Source organism: Homo sapiens, chromosome X (assembly GCF_000001405.40).
Source record: "Homo sapiens chromosome X, GRCh38.p14 Primary Assembly".
In the NCBI taxonomy this organism is placed as follows: domain Eukaryota; kingdom Metazoa; phylum Chordata; class Mammalia; order Primates; family Hominidae; genus Homo; species Homo sapiens.
Window position 1 is genome coordinate 85944722 of NC_000023.11, and position 22680 is coordinate 85967401.

A 22680-nucleotide genomic window follows, 5' to 3' on the forward strand; every position below is an offset into this window, starting at 1 on the left:
TGATTTCTCAAAGAACTTAAAACAGAACTACCATATGACCTAGCAATCCCATTATTGGTTACATACACAAAGGAATACAAATCATTCTACCATAAAAACACATGTCCCAGTATGTTCACTGCAGGACTATTTACAATAGCAAAGATATGGAATCAACCCAAATGCTCATCAATGGAAGACCTGACAAGGAAAACGTGGTACATCTACACCATGGAATACTATGCAGCCATAAAAAGGAACGAGATCATGTCCTTTGCAGGAACATGGATGGAGTTGGAGGACATTATCCTTAGCAAACTAACGCAGGAAGAGAAAACCAAATGCCACATGTTCTCACTTATAAGTGGGAGCTAAATGACAGGAACACATGGACACATAGAGGGAAAAAATAGATGCTGGGACGTACCTGAAGGTGCAGGATGGGAGAAGGGTGAGGACTGAGAAACTAGAAAAACTACCTATCAGGTACTATGCTTATTACCTGGCTAACAATATGTACACCAAAGCCCCGTGATATAGTTTACATATTTGTCCCTGTCGAAATCTCAAGTTGAATTGTAATCCCCAGTACTGGTGGTAGGGCCTGGTGGGAAGTGACTGAATCATGAGTGTGGATTTCTCATGAATGGTTTAGCATCATCCTCTTGGTGCTGTTCTCACTATAGTGAGTTCTCACAAGATCTGGTTGTATAAAAATGTGTGGCATCTCCCTCTCTCTCTCTCTCTCGTTCCTGCTCTTGCCATGTGATGTGCCTGCTCCACCTTCAGCTTCTGTCATAATTGTAAGCTTCCTGAGGCCTCCCCAGAAGCCAAGCAGATGACGGCACCATGCTTCCTATGGTGCTGCATCCTTCCTAAAGGCTGCAGAACTGTAAGCCAATTAAACCTCTTATTTTTATAAATAGCCCAGTGTCAGGTATTTCTTTATACGAGTGCAAGAACTGACTAATACAGAAAACTTGTACAGAGGAATGGGGCATTGCTATAAAGATACCTGAAAATACAGAAGCAACTTTAGAACTGCACAATGAGCAAAGGTTGGAAGAAATTAGAGGACCCAGAAGAAGATAGTAAGATGAGGGAAAGTTTAAAATTTCTCAGAGACAGGATAAATGGCTCTGATCAAAATGCTGACAGTTATATGGACAATGAAGTCCAGGCTGAGGAGGACTCAGATGGAAAAGAGGAACTTATTGGGAACTGGAGCAAAGGCCACCCATGTTATGCCTAAGCAAAGACCTTGGCTGCGTTCTGTTCATGTCCGGGGGATCTGTGGAAGCTTGACTTGAGAGTGATGATTTAGGGTATCTGGTTAAAGAAATTTCTAAGCAGCAAAGCATTCCAGATGTGACCTGGCTGCTTCTAATAGCCTATGCTCAATGAGGGAGCAAATAAATGACTTAAGTTGGAACTTATATTTAATGGGAAAGCAGAGTGTAAAAGTTTAGAAAACTTGTAGCCTGGCCGTGTGGTAGAAAAGAAAAGCCCATTTTTAGGAGAAGAATCAAAGTGAGCTGCAAAGCAACCTCTTTCTAGAGAAATGTGCATAACTAAAAAGGAGCCAAGTACTAACAGCCAAGACAATGGGAAAAAGGCTTAGAAGGCATTTCAGAGAACTTCGAGGCAGCCCCTCCCATCACAGGTCCTGTGGGCTAGAAAGAAATGGTTTCGGGAGCCAGGCCCAGGGCCCTGCTTCCCTGCACAACATGCTCCCCATATCCAGGCCACTTCAGCTCCAGCCTCAGCTCAGATGACCTCAGGTTTGGCTCTGGTCGCTACTTCAGAGGGTGTAAGCCATAAGCCTTGGTGGCTTCCATATTGTGTTAAGACTCCAGGCACACAGAGTATAAGAGTGGAAGGGGCTTGGCAGCCTCCACCGGGATTTCAGAGAATATATGGGAAAGCTTGGGTGTCCAGGCAGAAACCCACTGCACAGATGGAACCACCACAGAGAACCTGTATTAGGACAGTACATAGGGAAAATGTGGGGTCGGAGGCCCCATGCAGAGTCCCTACTGAGGCACTGCATAATGGAGCTGTGGGAAGGGAGCCACAATACTCCAGGCCCCAGAATGGTAGAGGCACAGGCAGCTTGCACCCTGCACCTGAAAAAGCCACAGGCACTCAACAACCTGTGAGAGCAGCCACAGGGGCTGAACTCTACAAAGCCACAGGGGCAGAGCTGCCCAAGGCCTTGGGAGCCCACTCCTTACAGGACTTGAATGGGGCCTGTAGCCCCCCTTTTTTGGACAATCTCTCCCTTTTGGAATGGAAATGTTTACCCAATACTTAAACCCCCATTGTATCTTGGAAGTAAATAACTTGTTTTGATTTTATAGGCCCAGAGGTGGAAGGAACTCATTTCCAGAAAAGAATTTGAATTTGAGACTTGGGAATTTTGAGTTAATGCTGGAATGAGTTAAGATTTTGGTGGGGATTATTGAAAAGGGATGCTTGTATTTTGAAACGTGATAAGGAAATGAGATTTGGGAAGGGCCAGGGACAGAATAAGTTTGTACATTTGTCCCTACCCAAATATCATATTGAATTGTAGTTCCCAGTATTGGAGGTGTGAAGCCTATTTGGAGGTGACTGTATCATGGAGGTGAATTTCTCATGAATGGTTTAGCACCATCACCTTGGTGCTGCCCTCATGATAATGAGTGAGTTCTCATGAGTTCTGGCTGTTAAAAAGTGTGTGGCACCTCCCTCTATCTTGCTCCTGCTCTGGTCATGTGACATGTCTGCTGCCCTTTCGCCTTCCATCATGATTGTAAGCTTCTTGAGGCCTTCCCAGAAGTTGAGCAGATGCCAGTACCATGCTCCCTGTAAATCCTGCAGAACCATGAGCCAATTACGCCTCTTTTCATTATAAATTACCCAGTCTCAGGTATTTCTTTATAGAAATGCAAGAATGGCCTACTACACACAGCAATTTATCTATAGAACAAAGAGCCTGCACATCTACCCCTGAAACTAAAAGTTAAAAATAAATAAATAAATGAAAGCTATAAGCTAGAGATCAGCTTGTGTTACACAATTTCCTATAAATCTCACATCTTCAATTTTCCACATACAACAGTCAGGAAAATTTCATCTGAGGTTCAACAATTGGTAAAAACGTGTTTGGTGGTGATAATTTACATGATTTATTTACATACATAAATTTATACCACAAGCTACAAGTGAAACATATTCATCCTTCATCTTTTAGCAATTCTACCACATTAAAGGAAAAAATTAGATCAAATCTAGGCCACAGAATAATGAAAGGCTGAATTATCTAGAAGGTTGACAGTTAAATGCCCTCCTTTAACAAAATTAAGTAACAATCTCTGGGCAGTTCACATCTACACATAAAAAAAAAATGTGAAGTTTGTTCCCACTGATACTGCTCCAATTAACAGGTTATAAATACCTGACGTAGTATATAAAACTTATTCCAAACTAGAATGTAGTTATAAAGGCTACTATGTTACCAACCACACAAATAAACAAATAGGTCAGTTAAGGCTTAAAAAGGACTTCTGTTTGGAAAATATATTGTGAGCGTTTTAAAGTCTATAAACTGCATATATATCCTGTGCAATGTGCCAGAAAATGTATCAACCAATTAATTTACATTAGGGAAAACTGTAAAGCTTGCTAGACTAGAAAAATATATAGGTTTTAATGACTTTTCTTCCAATATGCTCCAATTATTGTATCTTGACATATTAATGGATACTAGGTAGCAACATAAATATGTTTCATTTTCTTTACCAAAAAAAAATCTACCTATTTAAATTGATAAAAGCCTCAAAGGACATTTATTCATGAAAGTTATCTCTAGTAGTTAAAATGTCACATGCAGAAATCATTTAGAATGCAAGGATATGACTTCCAAGTGTCTTTGAATCCTTCACATAAATATGCATGCATACCATTTATAATAGTAGCCTTGATGAGAACATGCTGTAACTGGCTGTGAGAAATGCTTAAGAGGCTTATATTAAAACAGAATATAGAATGGTGGTTAGAAATCACAGAACAGGTGATACCTTATTCTGATAACCTGGTGATAAAAAGTGTAGGCTATGATGTATAGATGGTAATAGTGTTACTACTTTAGGATAAAAATAAAACAATATTTATATGGAATTATAAAGCATTATGAAGAGAATCTAATATAAAACTAAAAGTTAATATCTGTAGGTCAAGGAAATGCATGTTTATTATAATTCACAGACAGACTCTTGTATATAAAATGTAAGAACTCAAGAGAATTACCCAGAAGTTTAATATATTTAACCCCAAAGTGCTGGGATTACAGGCATGAGCCACCGCACCCGGCAGGATGAGGTATAATTTTTATAAAAAACATTCAATCTGAGCCACATGTAGGCTCTGCAGATAATAAAAATATATGTAAGGCTGACAAATCTCAGCCTTAAGGTTACAACCATCTTTGGAGAAAAATGTTTTCTTTGTCTAAGATTCAATACATAAGATCACATTCTGAAATTTTATATCTGTACATGACAAACAAAACTTGTAAATGTCTTTTCCCTTCAAAAGAAATAAAAACAAAATGCATTTTTTAATGTATGAATTAGAAATAGAGGGATTTAGTGGAAAAAAGAGAAATAGGGCTAAACATTCCATTTTTGTAAAACACTAGTAAGGAGGCCAGTGAGCTTTAGATCACTTCCCAGTGATCTGTTCATTCTGTTTCTGTTCCTTACCCTAAGCTCCACAGGAGTGAGTAGCAAGTGGCAACATAAGAGGAAACATGGTGTGTCTCCTTTGAATCAGGCAATGACACAGGAAGAGGGAAAGAGTAACTAAGAAAACCATAGAACTCCCCCGCTTGTATTAAGTTGATAGAAGGACCTTTGGTTCCTGGGGGACATGGCACTCCCCATTTATTCCTACTTTGACAAGTAATCAGAAGAGGAAGAGCTTGTCTAGAAATACACAGATCCATCATATTCGGAAATAAGTGACTTCCAAATTTATAACGTTCCCACCTAAAGTCATAAAATCACATATTTAGGTAATGTAAATTTGAGAATACCTACTTCCAGTAGTAAACTGAACTAGATACTGTGAAGACACTTCCAGTTAATACCAAAACTAGGTCTTGGATGAAATAATTGTTATTGAACCAATGACACTGAAGGAAGGGGAATGTCCATGGGAAACACTGATCCCCATGTACATACAATACAAACCCTAACCTGAAATAAAAGCTTTGAGCAATAAACACTGAAATTAAATATATATATATATATATATATATATATATATCTTGTAATGGTATCACTATGTGGAGGTTGTATTGCATTATTAAGTGACGACCCCCAAAGGGAACTAAAATGATCCTAATTCTGTAGTGCCGTGAGGATGAAGCAAACACAAATAATCCCTGAAGAAAGGCACTCCCAATTTGGGTCCCCAGATTAAAATCAATCAAATATAAACTCTCAGCTAAGGAAAAGCATTGCACACACACACACACACACACAAATCACTGAGATGAATCAGTAGAAACAATACACGGCAATATTATATCGTTATGAAGTTTAAATATTAGAGTTATCAGAAAGAGAATGTAAAATATCTATATATGAAATGAATAAATAATTTCAAAAATGAACAAGTAAAAAAAATCAAGAATGACAGAGAAGATGGTGAGTAGAATTTCTAAAAATGAAAGATAATATTGAAGAAAGAAAATGAATGGGTTACAGGTGAAGAGAATCAATATGCTGGAATACAGATCTTAATTAGGTACCCAGAATGCAGCCAGAAAGACAAGAAGATAGCAAATATGAAAAAGATATTGAGAGATACAGAAGAGAGAATGCTAAGTTCTAAAACTTACCTACTTAGGGTTCCAAAAAGGCGAGAAGAGAAAAGGAAGAAAAAACAATACTTATAAAGATATTGGCTGATAAATTTCCAAAACAATAAACATAAATTTACAGACAGAAAAAGCACAATGTATTTAGTTGAACCATAGGATAATGTAGGTCTAAAATGGTTGAATAATGTTAATTTCATATGGTTCAACCTATACTAAGCAAGATAAAGACAAAGAAATTAACACCTAAGATTCACTGTAGTAAAAATATAGAATACAAAAGACAAACTATATTAAAAACAATGTGAGAGAAAAAAAGATATCTTTGTAACTTGTCATAATAAAAAATGACAAAGTAGGCTGACACTGAACTTTTCAGTGGCAAAAATGGAACACAAATGACAATGGAATAAAATTTTAAAGTATTAACAAAAATTGTCAGCCTAGCATTGTTTACTCAGTAAACTTCCACTCAAGAGAAAAAAGAAGAAAAAGTTATTTTCAGATACACACAACTAGAAAGCATTTGCCACCAGTAGATGTAAACTAGAGGAACTATTCTTAAATGCTTATATTAAAAAATATTTAAAAGATGAATACTTAATTCACGGAACTTCAGCCTAATAATTGCCAAGGGCAGGGGAGGGGAGAGATGATCTAAATATAATCCAGAGAAAGCAAAACAAAGGAGATAATAAAGAGCAGAAAATAATGAATTAGGACACAAAGCTACAACTGAATAAAAAAATCCCAAATTTGATTCCTGAAAAACAGAGAGAGGTCGTAAAACTTGCCCAAAGTTACATGGATAATAAACAGAAAAGTCAGGACTTAAATCTAAGCAGTCTTGTCTCTATACTTCAGGTATACTAAATGACCTCCCAAAAAAAGCTAAGCATAAAAAAAAAAGATTGCTCTATTTGACTATATTAATCTTCATGACCTTTATGTATCATAAAAACCATAAGACAAAATACATCCAACACATATAACTGAAAAAAGATCACTAATCAGAATATATTTTAAAACTCCTACAAATCAATAAGACAACAACCCAATAGACAAATGGGCAAAAGTCAACAATGAGAGGGTGGAGCAAGATGGTCAAATAGATGCCTCTAGTGATCATCCCTCCCACAGGAATGCGGAATTTTAACAACTAACTACACACAAAAAAAGAACCATCATAAGAAGCAAAAATCAGGTAAGCAATCACAGTACCAGGCTGCAACTTCCTATCACTGAAGGAGGCACTGAAGACAGTCTTGAATGGTCAATGCCAACCCTCCCCAATTCCACGGCAGTGGCCACATGGTGTGGAAAGAGAAATCTATGCATTTGAGGGAGTGAGAGCATAGCAACTGGGGGATGTAGCATTGAACTTGGTGCTGCCCTGTCAGTGGAGAGCAAAGCTATGCTAGGCTCAGGTGGCACTGAGAGAACATTTGGACCAGCCCTAGCAAGAAAGGAATGGCCCATCCCAGCAGCTGGAACTCGAGTGTCTCAGCAAGCCTTGTCACAATGGGCTAAAGTGCTCTGGAGTTCTAGGTAAACTTGAAAGGCAATCTAGGACACAAGGACTGTAATTCCCAGGCAAGTGCTAATGCTAGGCTGGGCTTAGAGCCCATGGACTAGGGCAGCACATGACCTAGGGAGAAACAGCCTGGGCAGCTAAGGGAGTGCTTGTGCCACCCCTCCCCAAACCCTAGGCCATGCAGCTCACAGCAACGAAGGTGTCTAATTCCTTCTGCTTGAGAAGAGGAGAGCAAAGAGTAAAAGGACTTTGTCTTTCATCTTGGATAGCAGCTCAGCCACAATAAGATAGGACACCAGGCAGAGTCATGAGGCCACCATTCTAGACCCTAACTCCCAGAAAACATTTCTAGACATACCATGGACGATAAGGGAACCCATTGCCTTCAAAGGAAGGACCCAATCCTGGCAGGGCTCATCACTTGCTAGTTAAAAGCCCTTGGCTACAAAATAATCAACAGTAATACCCAGGTAGTATGCCGTGAGCCTTGGGTGAGATTCTGAGACATGCTGGCTTCAGGTGAGACCCAGTACATTCCCAGCTGTGGTATCTATGGCAAAAGACTTCTGTTTGAGAAAAGCAGAGAGAAAAGTAAAGGGGACTTTGTGTTGTGTGTTAAACACCAACTCAGACACAGGGGTGCAGAGCACCAAGCAGGCTCTTGGGAACTCAAGTCGAGGCCTAGGCTCTTAGAAAGCCTTTCTGGACCTACCCTCGGCCAGAGGGGAGCCCACTGCCATGAAGGGTAAGGCCCAGGCCTGGAAGCATTCAACACAAGCTTACTGAAGGGTACTTGGGGTTTAAGTGAACATCAGGGGTGGCCTGGCAGAACTCCCAGTTGACCAGTGGCTGTGGTGGCCACTGGGAGAGGCTGAGAGAAGTCAAATTATCCTTGTTTGCAGATGATATAATTTTATATTTGGAGAATCCTAAAGACCCCATCAAAAACCTATTAGACTGACAAATTTAGTAAAGTTGCAGGGTATAAAATCAACATACAAAATTAATAGCATTTCTATATGTCAACACTGAAGAATCCAAAAGAGAAATTTTAAAAAGTAATCTCAATTAGAATACCCACAAATGCAATTAAATACCTAGGAATTAGCTTAATCAAAGAAGTGTACGATTCCTACAATGAAATCTATAAAACACTGATGAAAGATATTGAAGAGGACACAAAGAAATGGAAAACTATTCCATGTTCATGAACTGGAAGAATCAATATTGTTAAAATGTCCATACTATGCTAAGCAATCTACAGATTTAATGCAATCTATATCAAAATATCTATGGCATTCTTCAGAGAAATAAAAAAAATCCTAAAATGTATATAGAGACACAAAAGACCCAGAATAGCCAAAGCTATCCTGAGCAAAAATAATAAAACTGGAGGAATCACATTACCTTATTTCAAATTATACTACAGAACTATAGTCACCAAAACAGCATGGTACTGGCATAAAAACAGACACATAAACCAAAAAAACAGAATAGAGAACCCAGAAACAAATCCACACACCTACAGTGAACTCATTTTTGACAAAGGTGCCAAGAATATACACTGGGTAAAAGACAGTCTTTTCCATAAAGGGTGTTGGGGTAACTGGATATCTGTATGCAGAAAAATGAAACTAGACCCCTATCTTTTGCAGTATATAAAAAGCAAATCAAAATGGATTAAAGAATTAAATCTAATGCCTCAAACTTTGAAACTACTACAAGAAAACATCGGAGAAAACCTCCAAGACACTGGTCTGGGCAAAGATTTCTTAAGCAATGCCCCACAAGCACAGGCGACTAAAGCAAAAATGGACAAACGGGAACACATGAAGTTAAAAAGTTTCTGCACAGCAAAAGAAACCATAAACAAAGTGAAAAGACAACCCACAGAATGAAAGAGAATATCTGCAAACTACCCGTCTAACAAGGAATTAATGACCAGAATATATAAGTAGCTCAAACAACTCTACAGGAAAAAAATCTAATGATATGACTAAAAATTGGGCAAAAGATCTGAATAGACATTTTTCAAAAGAAGACATACAAATGACAAGGAGACATATAAAAAGGTGTTCAACATCACTGATCATCAGAGAAATGCACATCAAAATTACAATGAGATATTTTATTACCCCAGTTAAAATAACTTTTATTCAAAAGAAAGACACTAGCAAATGCTGGCAAAGATACGGAGAAAAGGGAACCCTTGAACACTGTGGGTGGGAGTGTTAATTAGTACAACCACTGTGGAGAACAGTTTGGAAGTTCCTCAGAAAAGTAAAAATAGAGCTACCATACGATCTAGCAATCCCACTGCTAGGTATATACCCAAAAGAAAGGAAATCAGTGTATCAAAGGGATATCTACATACCACATTTGTCGCAGCACTGTTCACAATAACCAAGATTTGGAAGCAACCTAAGTGCCCAGCAACAGATAAATGGATAAAGAAAATGTAGTACAGTTACACCTTGGAGTAATACTCAGCCATAAAAAGAACGAGATCCTGGCTGGGCATGGTGGCTCACGCCTGTAATACCAGCACTTTGGGAGGCTGAGATGGGTGGATCACAAAGTCGGGAGTTCAAGACTAGCCTGGCCAAGATGCTGAAACTCCATCACTACTAAAAATACAAAAATTAGCCAGGTGTGGTGGCACGTGCCTGTAATCCCAGCTACTCAGGAGACTGAGGCAGGAGAATCACTTGAACCTGGGTGGCAGAGGTTGCAGTGAGCCGAGATCACACCACTGCACTCCACCCTGGGTGACAGAGCAAGACTCCATCTCCCAAAAAAAAAAAAACAAAAGAATGAGACCCTGACATTTGCAACAACATGACAACATGGATGAAACTGGAGGTCATTATATTAAGTGAAATAAGCCAGCCACAGAAAGACAAACAATGCATATCCTCACTTACTTGCGGGAGCTAAAAATTAAAACAATTAAACATATGGAGACAGAGAGTAAAAGGATGGTTATCAGAGCCTGGGGCGGGTTTTGAGGGGGCAGCGGATAAGTAGGAATGGTTAATAGGTACAAAACGTAGTTAGAAAGAATGAATAAAATCTAGTGTTTGATATTACAACAGAGTGACTACAGTCAATAATGATTTAATTGTACATGTTAAAATGAAGAGTATAATTGGATTGTTTTCAACACAAAGGATAAATGTGTGAAGGGATGGATACTCCATTTACCATGATGGATTACACTTTGCATGCCTGTATTAAACTATCTCATGTACCCCACAAACACATATGCCTCCTATGTACCCACAAAAAATAAAAATTTTTAAAAATGTGTAAAACAAACAAAAAAAGACACAAACAAGTATTCCCTGAAGATAAAACATGAATGGCCAGTAAACATATGAGAAAAGGTTCAACTTCATAGGTAATTAGGGAAATGAAAAATAAAAATCCAATGCAATGATAATTTATGTGAGTTAGGTTGACAAAAAAATTTTAAATGTTGGCAAACATGTAAAGCTTTGGGTATTCTTATGTACGGCTAAAAGGTTATAATTGGTACAGCCCTCTAGAGAAATAACTGAACACGATGTTGTAAAGTGTTAACATTCATGTATCTCAGGACTGGGGAATTCCACCCCTAGATATGTTTCCGAGAGAAATTCTTGAACATACACAACTTGAAACATACACAAGGGTGTTAACCTCAAAAAACTGGAAACATCCTGTGTTCATCAACAGAAAAATGAAAAAATAGATTGTGGTGTATTCACAATAACATACTATATAGTAATAAAAAATTAACTAAAATTATATGCAATGACAATACTTTCCATCATGCTATTGAGTGGAAAAAGGAATTTATAGTATTTTTATCAAGCTCAAAAAGAGGCCACACTGAATATATCACTTAGGTGGGTAGATAGGTAGGTAAATAGATTATAAAAAATAAATAGAATAAAGTATATATTTGCATATACTAAATCTTGAATAAATCTCATTTTTGCCTGCCTAATTTTCATCTGTTATTCAAGTATCACTTTTAGAAGGGACAAGAAAATCAATGGCAAACTTACCTGCAGAAACACTGGGGGAGTTCTCCTTGGCCATATAAAGGAAACAAAAATGGAGTGTTGCCATACCGCCCAAGACAGTGAAGAAAGTTTTTGGTAGCTTTGAGACCATCTATGGTGCTGCTGGCTGTCTCTGATGTCATTGCAATTGAATGCATGACAATATATTGGAGGTTGGGGGTTAATTTTTGAGTCTTTAAATATTCATAAAATGTGATCTCTTCATATCCTATGAAAAGATGAAATTTTATCACTTAAAATCAGAACTAAACTTCTATTTAAAACCACCCCACAAAAAGGAGATGAAGTGTGTTTCACAGACCTCACAAAGGACATAGGTGGTATTACATTTTGGACACTGATGGTTGATCTTAGGAAAAAATGGAAACAATCTCTCTCTCTTATTTGGAGTAATGGCACAATTTTTAGCTTTAAATGATGAATTATGATTGAGCATTTCATGGATTTAAAAAAAACTAGAAAATATTAAATAACTCAATGGGTTGTCATAGTTGGCAATAATCTCACTTTATTATCATGAAACCTGCAGGATAATGCCAATAATGGTACTGAAAATATTAAACAACTATGACAACATGGGAATGTATTGATTTAAAATGATAAATATGTGAGTTTTGTAAAACGTATACTTCTCACTGATACTCAGAAAATAAACTAAAAAATAATGAAATGAATTTCCATGTGGCTACTGGAATCAGTCTTATGGCCACATAATCACATCAAAACATACGGGACCCCCAGAAGTTACTCCTTTAAACCAAGAACAGAATATAATGTAATTGGACTGTTAGTGGTGGGAAATAAATCCCATGATAAAAGACAAAAACTTTACAGAAATAATTTACATAAATAAAAATTATGAAAATTTACTGAGAGAATTGAATTTTACACAGCCACTGTGGATAACAACATGACAGTACCTAGTAGACTTGAAGCTTTAAGAGCAAGGATTAGACTTTCATTATTTCACAGAGGAAAAAAAATATCGCTGCACTTCTCATTGTAACTTTATAAATAAATTATCAATAGTATATTCCAATTTTGGATAACATTTTCAGACCAATGGACTTAAAGTATATAGCTCTGACACTAAAATGGCATATTCAATTTTTAACAGACAATGAAGTAACTGGCCCCAGATCACATAATGAAATAGGTCAAAGCCAAGAATAGAAACCATGCCTTTTCTGAATCCAGTATTTTTCCCCATATACCATCTAGCCTTTTTTTTTCAAACGAAATAGTTCAAGATTCTATGCAAAAGCAATCCTGGAAAATGATAAAATATATAGTATTTTTACTTATGAGAAAAAATAATGGAATCATGAAAACAGATTATCATCTATGAAGAGCCAGTTGACAGTAGTATTTAAATAATAAGAATAAAAATTAAAATCTAGCATGCCACTTCAGCAATGAAAATATCTGCACTGTAGCCACATGGGGCTATGGGAGCCCTTGAAATACAGCTAATAAGACTGAGAAACTGAATTTATTTTATTTTATTTCACTTTAATTAATTTAAATTTAAATAGCTAAATGTTACTAATGGCTAACCTATTGATAGTGCAGAGTTAGAATGCATTTTAAAACAGTAATAAGTGGCTCACTAAATCAGAGCAAGCATATTAAAATAGTAAGAAATGTCAAATAATTGGAGAGCACTACTTAATGAAAAAAATACCTTTATATTCATCAGGATATTTCTCATATTCCATACAAAATGTAAGAAATTTCATTAGCATTCGCTTTTCTACCATAGTAAGTTGTTTGCTATTAAAGACATCTGCTCTGGAACACGGAACCTGAAAAATATTATGATTTTAAGTTAAGAAACTGCTTCCTAATGATATAACTATTCCAAATTACACTTTTTTCCCCTTTACATATAACAGGATTATCGTTTCCACTCTAGCCAGGCTTTTTCACATCACCGTCCATCAGTACTAATGGCATCTCTGCTAACTTCAGAGCTAATTGTGAGCTTTCTTACTTAATTCTGCCAAGTTACTCCCCATGCCATTAAAAGGCCAACGGCATGTCATCCTAACAGAGAAAAATTTAGCAGTGCTATCTAAAACAAACACTGTGGTTCTCCCTATGTACATGTTAGTACATTTTTATGCCTTTTCTCCAATTAATCTGCCTTTGTGAGTTGATTTTTCAGTGAAACTTCAGAGGCTTAAGAGGGAGTGTTTCCCTTGGCCCCTACAGTTTTGGTGCTGTGAGCAGGATAGCAAAGCTCTGCTCTTCTGGAAGCTGCAGTGAAGAACCCAGGATCTGATCAGCTGTCATAAGGGTAAGAATTTTTTCCCAACCAGGCTCCGGGCCTCCTCCTCTGTGTGGAATCTGATCAAGTGGACAGCAAAAATCACCGTTTCTTTCTTTTCCCTCTCCAAAATCTTGATTAATGGGAGAAAAGGATTTGTGTGACTAGTCTTGGGTATAGTAACTCTGGTGTGCTTTTTGGTTTTTTGTGTGCTGCTTGGTACCAACACCAAGCTGCAGAGTAAGCCATGAGAAAATTAGCACTAGAAATTTTAATTAAGCATTTACATTTGTAAATCACCACGGAGGACTGGAATTTACTGCTTTATGAGGAAAATAACAATCTTATTTGCTTATCTTTCCAAAACAAACCATAATAACTTAAGCTGATGCCCAGTTACAATTCTTGATCAGCACAGTACCTGTTCCACTCGTCCTTCTCGAAATGCAAGAATCCTGGTAATATTTTTAAACTCTGCATATCGACTAACATTAGATTTGATTAGAAGATCAATTAGTAATCCTCGAGAATACAGCAGCTGTACAAAGAAAATATTTTACAAGATAAAAGTTGAAATAGTAGAAAAATTGGAAAACAATAAAGATACATAATTTTGCTATATTTTTTATTATTTGTAGAAACAATCATACCTATAAATATTATAATACATAACACAATCTATTACAGGCTCAGAATTGATTAGCTGAAATTCAAAATTCAAAAAACTTTGCAATCCATAAGTTTTTACAAAACATGTTTAGCAGCAAAACCTGATCCATACTGATAAGGCACTCTGGCTTTGTTTGTCCAAATTAACATAAATATTCATATATTTCACTGCAGAAATAATGTGTTTAGTTAGAGTTCCTCCTCAGACCCTGCTAATAATTTAACCTAACATATAACATATCAGTATATGTACTTCATTACTTTCTAAAATATATTTTTTTAATCTTAATGATAGAATACACCAGGCCCTGAGGGTTTTGGATAAGAATCTATAGTCTTACACAAAGCCAGGTAGTTATAAGAAGAAATCAGTCCAGTGAACCTCCCTACCCCATCAAAAAAAGAAAAAAATATTTGTGATGCATTTACACTGAAAAAGTCAAATTATAAGGTACTTCTGTAATTCTAGAAGTCTGGGTTTATATGAGATATGTCTTTCTCAAAAAGTGAAGATGATGATTATTGCTGGCATGTATGGGAGAAATTGATTTAATCTTTCAACATCTCATAAGTAATATCAGAGAGATAAAATCAATAATGTAAACAGTATTATCTAGCATGTTAACCGTATGGTTAAATGCAACAGATTTGACTATTTCCTATATTAAGATACTCTTAATGCCTATAACTCAATAAATATTAAAAATGAATGTTACATCTATAATAAATAAATGGGAAAATTAGCTTTACTATACAAAGAAAAAGGAATCTCAAAAATCAATCTAAACCATTAGTCTGAGCAACTAATAAGTCAGTAAAGACTATCAGTAAATCAATACCATTCAAGTAAAATTTTATAAACTAATAGTTCAGCATTCTGCAAAACAAAATTGACATCACTTTTTTGAAGCTAATCTGATCATCCTGATTAAATATGGCACGTTACTTCATTACCCTCTTCCTAACACACTACATTACTGAAAGAGACCATGTTTTAAAGAATATATTGCCAATTCTTAACTCTATAATAATGATAAAAAATAGTTACTTCAAAAATCACTTGTTTAAAAAGATACACATTTGAGACTCAAGGATCCCTGCATAGCCATAATAATGTCACAAACATTAAGATATAAAATATGAAACTGCATTTTTATTTAATAAGATCCAATAAACCTTAAGGTTTAATGCCAGCTTGAAAAATAATGCATTTAAGATATCACAAGAACAAAAACAAATTTCAATTAAAATTATACTAGATTTTTGTTTCTGAAGCTCACAAATAATAAATGTGTACATATCAGAATCTAAGCCTCTTTTTCTTTTTTTTTTATTGAGACAGAGTCTCTCTGCTGCTCAGGCTGGAGTGCAGTGGCTCAATCTCAGCTCACTGCAACCTCTGTCTCCTAGGTTCAAGCGATTCTCCTGCCTCAGCCTCCCGAGTAGCTGGCATTACAGGAATGCAATGCCACGCCCAGCTAATTTTTTGTATTTTTAGTAGCACACAGGGTTTCACCATGTTGGTCAGGCTGGTCTCGAACTCCTGACCTTAGGTGATCCGCCCGCTTCAGCCTCCCAAAGTGCTGGGATTACAGGACTGAGCCACCACGCTCAGCCTAAGCCTCTTTTTCACTACCCTCTAAGCGATCTACCACAGTGATGAGGGGCTAAAGAGCAGTGCAATTTGATTACAATAATGGAAATTAGATTTATTAATTAACAATTTTTCCTTAGCATGTTGGTTCCATAATTATTAAGAGTATGGACTTACTTAGAAATGAGCTTTCATTTTAAGAATTTCATCTTTGACCTTCTCTATTAGTCTGAGCAGTATGACACTATACGTATTTTATTTAACTAACCTACCTTGAGCTATTACTTTTTAAAAGGCTATATACATGAATGTGTATTGTCAACTGTAAAGCCCCACAGTATTTAATTATATCATGATGTCTTTGAGGTTGAACGCATATAGAAATGTCAACTAGTTTGGAGATACTGAGTTGGACTTTAGAAAAGAGGTAGGTCTTTGGACGAGCACGGTGGCTCACGCCTGTAATCCCAGTACTTTGGAGGGCCAAGGCAGGCAGGTCACGGGGTCAAGAGATCGAGACCATCCTGGCCAACATGGTGAAACCCCATCTCTACTAAAAATACAAAAATTAGCCAGGCATAGTGGCACGCGCCTGTAGTCCTAGCTACTCAGGGGGCTGAGGCAGGAGAATCACTTGAACCCAGGAGACGGAGGTTGCAGTGAGCAGAGATGGCGCCACTGCACTCCAGCCTGGCAACAGAGCAAGACTCTGTCTCAAAAAAAAAAAAAAAAAAAAAAAAGGAGGTAGGGCTTTAGGGCTTTAAGATAGATATTTGGCAATCATCCTAAACTTAGACGTTTATTAACTGCAATTATTAGAACAGATAAAATTTCTAAGGAGTGACCAATTGCCCCAATAACATGGAATACATTGCTTTCCATCTAGCATGCACTGAATATGTATTAAATGACTTAACATTTTAAAAACGGAAAATTAATCTCCTGTATTACTATGGTTATATGTGATTAAGATACTTCTGGTTTTGAAAATGAGTACATTAAATGTTTATTAGTTATTTTGTAGAACGTATGAACCCATGAAACTCTGCAGGACGCAGTCCCAACTGCCTAGTCCACTGCCTCTAGACATGTTTGGTTTTTACTTACCATAAGAGAACTGGTTATTACTAACCATTCAAACCGATGAAAATACCCAGAAGTCTCCTTCAGGGTATCTTCAAATGTGTCAACTTCTAATTCAATTGTCTTTTTCCTCCCACAACCAGCATTCATTTTCTTATACAACTGAATAATTTTCTACACCAATTCCTACAATTGAAACAGCACCGTCTTCTACCATTTCCCTTTGCAAGATATATACTAAATTTCAGCTAACATAAAAGTTACAGACTTTTATGAAATAGCCTTGATTCTTAACCACATTTATATCATCATTTATTTAGGTAAAACATTCCAAATTCCAAGTAATTACTTCAAAATGGAATTGTCACACAAAGCCCATTTGTTATTTGACTTGTTCAGTTTTTATGTTTTGTTTAACCTATTTCATAGAGTACTGCTCATGGGACCAGGAAGGTTATTAGTGAGCTAGGATTAAACTTCCATCCACAGATGAACAGCCAAGGTAATGTGGAAAAAATGCTAGATTTCAAATCATGACAGGGTCAAAGTAGATGGAGGTGGGAGAGATAGTACGGAAGTATGAAGTAGAACCAATGCAATAGCCAACTATGCAAAATCAGACACAGAGTGCTACATGACAGACAGAAAGAAAAATGGGTAGTAAAAAGATATTTATATTTTCAGGCATCAAGTTCAAAGGGAGCAAGAGTATGAGGATATGGGATTTGCAGAAACAACTTGTCAAGGGAAATGTTTTGGTCCCTCTCTGTCCCCTATCACTTGGAACTTGAAGAAAGTACATTAAATTGAAAAGCCTAGTTCTGTGCTAGTTCTGTGGCAAGTCTTGTGCTATTCACTATCCTCTCCTACTTCTTTTCAATTACTTATTGTTAGCTCTCAACTTATAGGATTTAGTCTGTTTTTCTCTACTTTTACCCTGTCCTGTATCATGACCCTTTAAGGCCATAATCCTTTATCTTACTGATTTTCTATTCTTTTGCACTAAAAATAGTCTTGCTTCCTATAAACCAAATGCAATATTGTACGCTTCTAAGATGGAGGGACCTCCTGTGAAGTTACAGTGAACTAACATTCAAGTTAGTTATGTTCAGGAACATAACCGAAGACAATAGCTTTCTTCCCAGCCTTCCTGCCTCCATCACTATTAAATTTTCCTCTGAAGCTTTCAAACCTGAACACATGATTTTTTTGAGACTTTTTTCTTAAATTATACTTTAAGTTCTGGGATACATGTGCAGAAAGTGCAGATTTGTTACATAGGTATACACACGCCATGGTGTTTTGCTGCACCCATCAACCCGTCATCTACATACCCGTCATCTACATACCCATCATCTACATAAGTATTTCTCCTAATGCTATCCCTTCCCTAACCCCCAACCCCGACAGGCCCTGGTGTGTGATGTTCCCCTCGCTGTGTCCATGTGAACACGATTTTTAAAAATTCATTGGTTTATTCTGAGTATTCATCATCATACAGTTGTGAAAATAGTTACTATACATAAAGGCTAAAAGAATCGATGGAAATTGACTGTAAATAACATGGATTTCTAAACAGGTTCATTAGAATTTTTCTTTTGATAGAATTCATAGTGTCCAGAGAATATTAGGTTGTAGTATGTGCTCAAGCACAAAAGTATTCTTCAGGTATAGATTAAAAACATAATTAAAGCATTTTCATGTGAGCACTTTAAATATGTTTTTAATTTGTACTTAAGGAATATTTTAAATGAATTACAAACATCTGGCTACTATCTCTTTACAAAACAAATGTTCTGCATCTCAGAGAATTACAAAAACTGGGTTTATGGGCCCAGATACTGTTTTCAATGCAAAGATGGGTAAAATTAGTACTTACCTTTGATACTAAATCAATATTAAATCTCCTGCCTTCTTTAATAATTTGTGAGTAAGTAATTCTGTTTTTCTTTGGTTGCTCTGTGGTATCTTCTGCTATAGGCACATTTTCACTCATGTCTTCTGCTGAAGTTGATGGCACACAAGTTTTATCATCACAATGGTTTTCTTTTTCCCCTGTCACTTCAGCACCATTTACTTCTAGCGCATTCTCTGGATCGCTGCTTGGAGTTTGTTCTGTGAGCATTTCACAGCTCATAGTGCTTAATGACTCATCCTCCGTAGGCAGGAAGGCAGAATCTGCAGCTTCTGTGGAGTTTGCAGATGTCACAAGAGCATGATTTTTCTGCAGTGCACCAGCTTCTTCGACATCTTCATGCAAATCCTGACTAATAAGAAATATAATAATAAACACCAGGCTTTATATATATATTCCCTTACCCCTTTTATCAAGTTCAGTGTACGTTTTGCTTATGTGACTCAGACATTAAACATTCATCTGTTAATGTTTCAGTAAAATATGAAACAAAATTAAGATTTGAAAGATATAAAGATTTCATGTCACATGCACATTTTTGAGAATTTAAGACAGACAGGGGAACTGTATTGGAAGCAAATTACCACAGTGATGAAGAACACAGTCTTCAGAATAACAGATCTTGGTTCAAACCCTGACCATATGACTAGTAAGCTCTGCGAACTTAGATACTTATGTATCCTCTCTGAGACCACCTAAATTACCCTCAATTTAGGTAATTACCTAAATTACCCTCTCTGAGACCACCTAAATTACCCATCTATGACACAGAGATAATACCACCTACCACAAGGTTGTTTTGAAGATTAAATTAAGTACTGCATGCAAAGAGCCTGACACAGTGCCTGGGACATAGTAAATACTCAACAGTGGTAGTTATCAAAGATGATTATTACTGAGGAATTCCTGACTTGGTGATACGACAGAAGACCTTCAATAAAGGGAAAAATATCTGCCTTGAAAAGATTAAGTTGGCCTATCACAATGTGGTATCTAATAGGACCTTTCTGTATAATTTCCTGCCTATTTTAGTACTGATGTCTATTACTCTAGTCGAAGCCCCATTTCCAAATTTATTATTGGAGCTAACATTCTCAGTCCACCATTGTCTTGATTTATAGAACAGGCTCCCATTCAGTCTGCCTGCTTTATGAATTTCTGTGATATTTTATCCTCCACAGAACCCACTATTTTCACTGAGTTGCCACACTGCTCAATACCTGGCAGAATGCCTTGTATGTGATTGGTCTTGGCAAGTAAAAATCTGCTAGTTGACTAACAGTAGCCCTAACAGTAGCCCTTCCTTATATCAAATACCCCACAAAAAAATCTTCCTTTTCCTGTCTCTAAACCAAACCACCTTCCTTATTTACTAATCTTCTGGTTTCATCTCCACCTACTTTCCAACATGGCATCTCTAACTCCGAATTTATCAATTCTAATTGTCAAATCATGACAGTTTGGTTCATATCATTTGTTTCTTCTGTCCTTTTCTTCCCACTCTGCATAATATCACAATTCTTCCATTCTCAAACATAATCACATACTTTAGCAAACTACTTTAAGAAAAAGTTTAAATTTAACTTCCAATTAGTCTTCCTTACTCCAATTACACTCATCACTCTATTATACCATGCTCCCATAATACACATATGCAGTTTACCTTGCATGTATTTATCCATTCCTTTTTAATAGTCCTTTAGTTTTCCAGTATATCCTTTATCTTCCAAATCAGACTGTAATTCCTTGAGGGAATACCTTAGCACCGCTCCTTCTGTGCCCCTCACGACACCTACCACACTGCTCCATAGATGTGGTATCCAATAAATGCTTAATTAATAATGGTTTATACGTGCAGACTATTTTTGTTTCAAATGCGAAACAAACTTGTTGCAAAAAACACAAAAAATAAGGCCAAGAAAAAAACACGGTATTGTAAATTAGAAAGTCCGAGTTAAGTGAAAAAAAGAAGTGCCTTATTAAAAATAACACAATGAACACTACAAAAAAAAATGAGGGACAATGATAGAATAACACTCAAATGTCAAGAAATAAAATGCCATATTTACTGTTATAGTAATTCTAATAAAATCTAGTGAAGAAACAAATTGATATCATTAATGTTACATGAATATTTTTGAGATCTAGGAAACCAAAGTGAGGAAAACACCCACTTTGTTCTATCCTAGATTTATCACTTAGGAAACACTTGGCAAGTCATTTAATCTCTCTGATTCACCACATATAAAATGGGGATCAGTCCATTTGCCTTACCTTTTATGAAACTGTTGTGAGATAAGGAAGCTAACATATATGAAAAGTAGTTTATAAACTCTAAAAGGTTAATCAAAGATAAGATACTAATCAGGCCGGGCACGGTGGCTTACACCTGTAATCCCAGCACTGTGGTAGGCCGAGGTGGGTGGATCACTTGAGGTCAAGAGTTCAAGACCAGCCTGACCAACATGGTGAAACCTAGTCTCTACTAAAATGCAAAAATTAGCTGGGCGTGGTGATGGGCACCTGTAATCTCAGCTACTTGGGAGGCTGAGGCCAGAGAATCACTTGAACCCAGGAGGCGGAGGTAGCAGTGAGCCAAGATCGTCCCATTGCACTCCAGCCTGGGCAACAAGAGCAAAACTCCGTCTAAAAAAAAAAAAAAAAAACTACTCAAAAATAAGATATTGTTAAACTGCCCACAGCTCAACAGTCAACTCAAAACCTGTATACCTAGGTTTTCTGCATTCACATGACAAAAGCCCATTGGCCATATAAGCACATAATAGCATCGCTATTAACAGCATTAAGAATGAAGAGTCATAATATGAAAGGTGATTTATATATTTTCTACAGAATTGTTCACACTCTTATTCACTTTTATTATCTTGAAAACCAACAAAACTAAAGTGTGTTACATGAGGGATCTAAGGGGACAATTTTCAGCAAAAGTTCCACACCTAATTTTTTGTTTTTCAGTAAAAGTTCCATGCCTAACTCTTAAAGCAAAAGTTCCATGCCTTTAATTTTAAGAAAGGATAATTAATTACACTTTACAGATAAGACAAAATATGGCAACTTCTCTTATTACAGACTATGATGATGACACTGTGAAAACTGAGCATAGCAAATGATCTAGTCAGTGGTTCTCTATTACATTCTGTGATGGGGGCCCTATAGAGTGAATGAAATACATTAACCAGTACTGGACAACCTGGAAGATATAAGTCAAAATACTTAATTAAAGGTATAAGCGAAGAGAAGAAATTATTCTTCGGAAATTTTTTCTACATCAATAAACTATCGTTTTACTGTTCTCAACATTATAATTTGGTGAGATTCCTAGCACTACGGAAAACACAAGCAATAAAAACACAACACTGTCCTCACTTTCCATTAAAAACAACCACAGTATTTTTGGAGTTCTGCCAAGGTTGAAGTTAATACCTAATGAGAAAATATAAAGACACCCAAAAGCTCCTAAAACTCCACTGACATCCTCAGAAAGCAAAATTCTGTTCATCTAAAAGGGTTATCTTTCCCCAAATTTAAAACTTTATACTGTGGTAAAAGACATTTTCTTAAAAAGATATTCAACCTTTCAGAGAAAACCTCAGAATCCAGTAATAGTTCAATTCTACTAATTTAAAAGTGTTTGAAAACTATAAAAACACATTTACCAATTACAAAACAATGTAGCTGCA

General features: G+C 36.5%; 1 protein-coding gene across 8 annotated transcripts in view, besides 1 other annotated feature; it reads right to left on the minus strand.

Moving 5' to 3' along the window:
- CHM (CHM Rab escort protein) overlaps window positions 1-22680 on the minus strand; it is a 186379-nt gene that overhangs the window by 83542 nt on the left and 80157 nt on the right. For 6 of the 8 annotated variants that reach the window (NM_000390.4, XM_047441793.1, NM_001362517.1 and 3 more), the window contains 4 exons: window positions 18944-19331; window positions 14140-14256; window positions 13134-13254; window positions 11432-11657 (listed from right to left, as the gene is read on the minus strand). In NM_000390.4, the coding sequence (NP_000381.1) occupies window positions 11432-11657; window positions 13134-13254; window positions 14140-14256; window positions 18944-19331 (852 nt within the window). The remainder of the gene's footprint in view (window positions 1-11431; window positions 11658-13133; window positions 13255-14139; window positions 14257-18943; window positions 19332-22680) is intronic. The other 2 variants (NM_001362519.1, NM_001362518.2) reach the window with 1 other exon arrangement.
- Window positions 19150-19350: a silencer, noted in NCBI's record as "peak7401 fragment used in MPRA reporter construct". NCBI's record gives its function as "represses an SCP1 promoter by STARR-seq MPRAs in K562 erythroleukemia cells {active_cell/tissue: K562}" and the evidence as "EXISTENCE:reporter gene assay evidence [ECO:0000049][PMID:32103011]".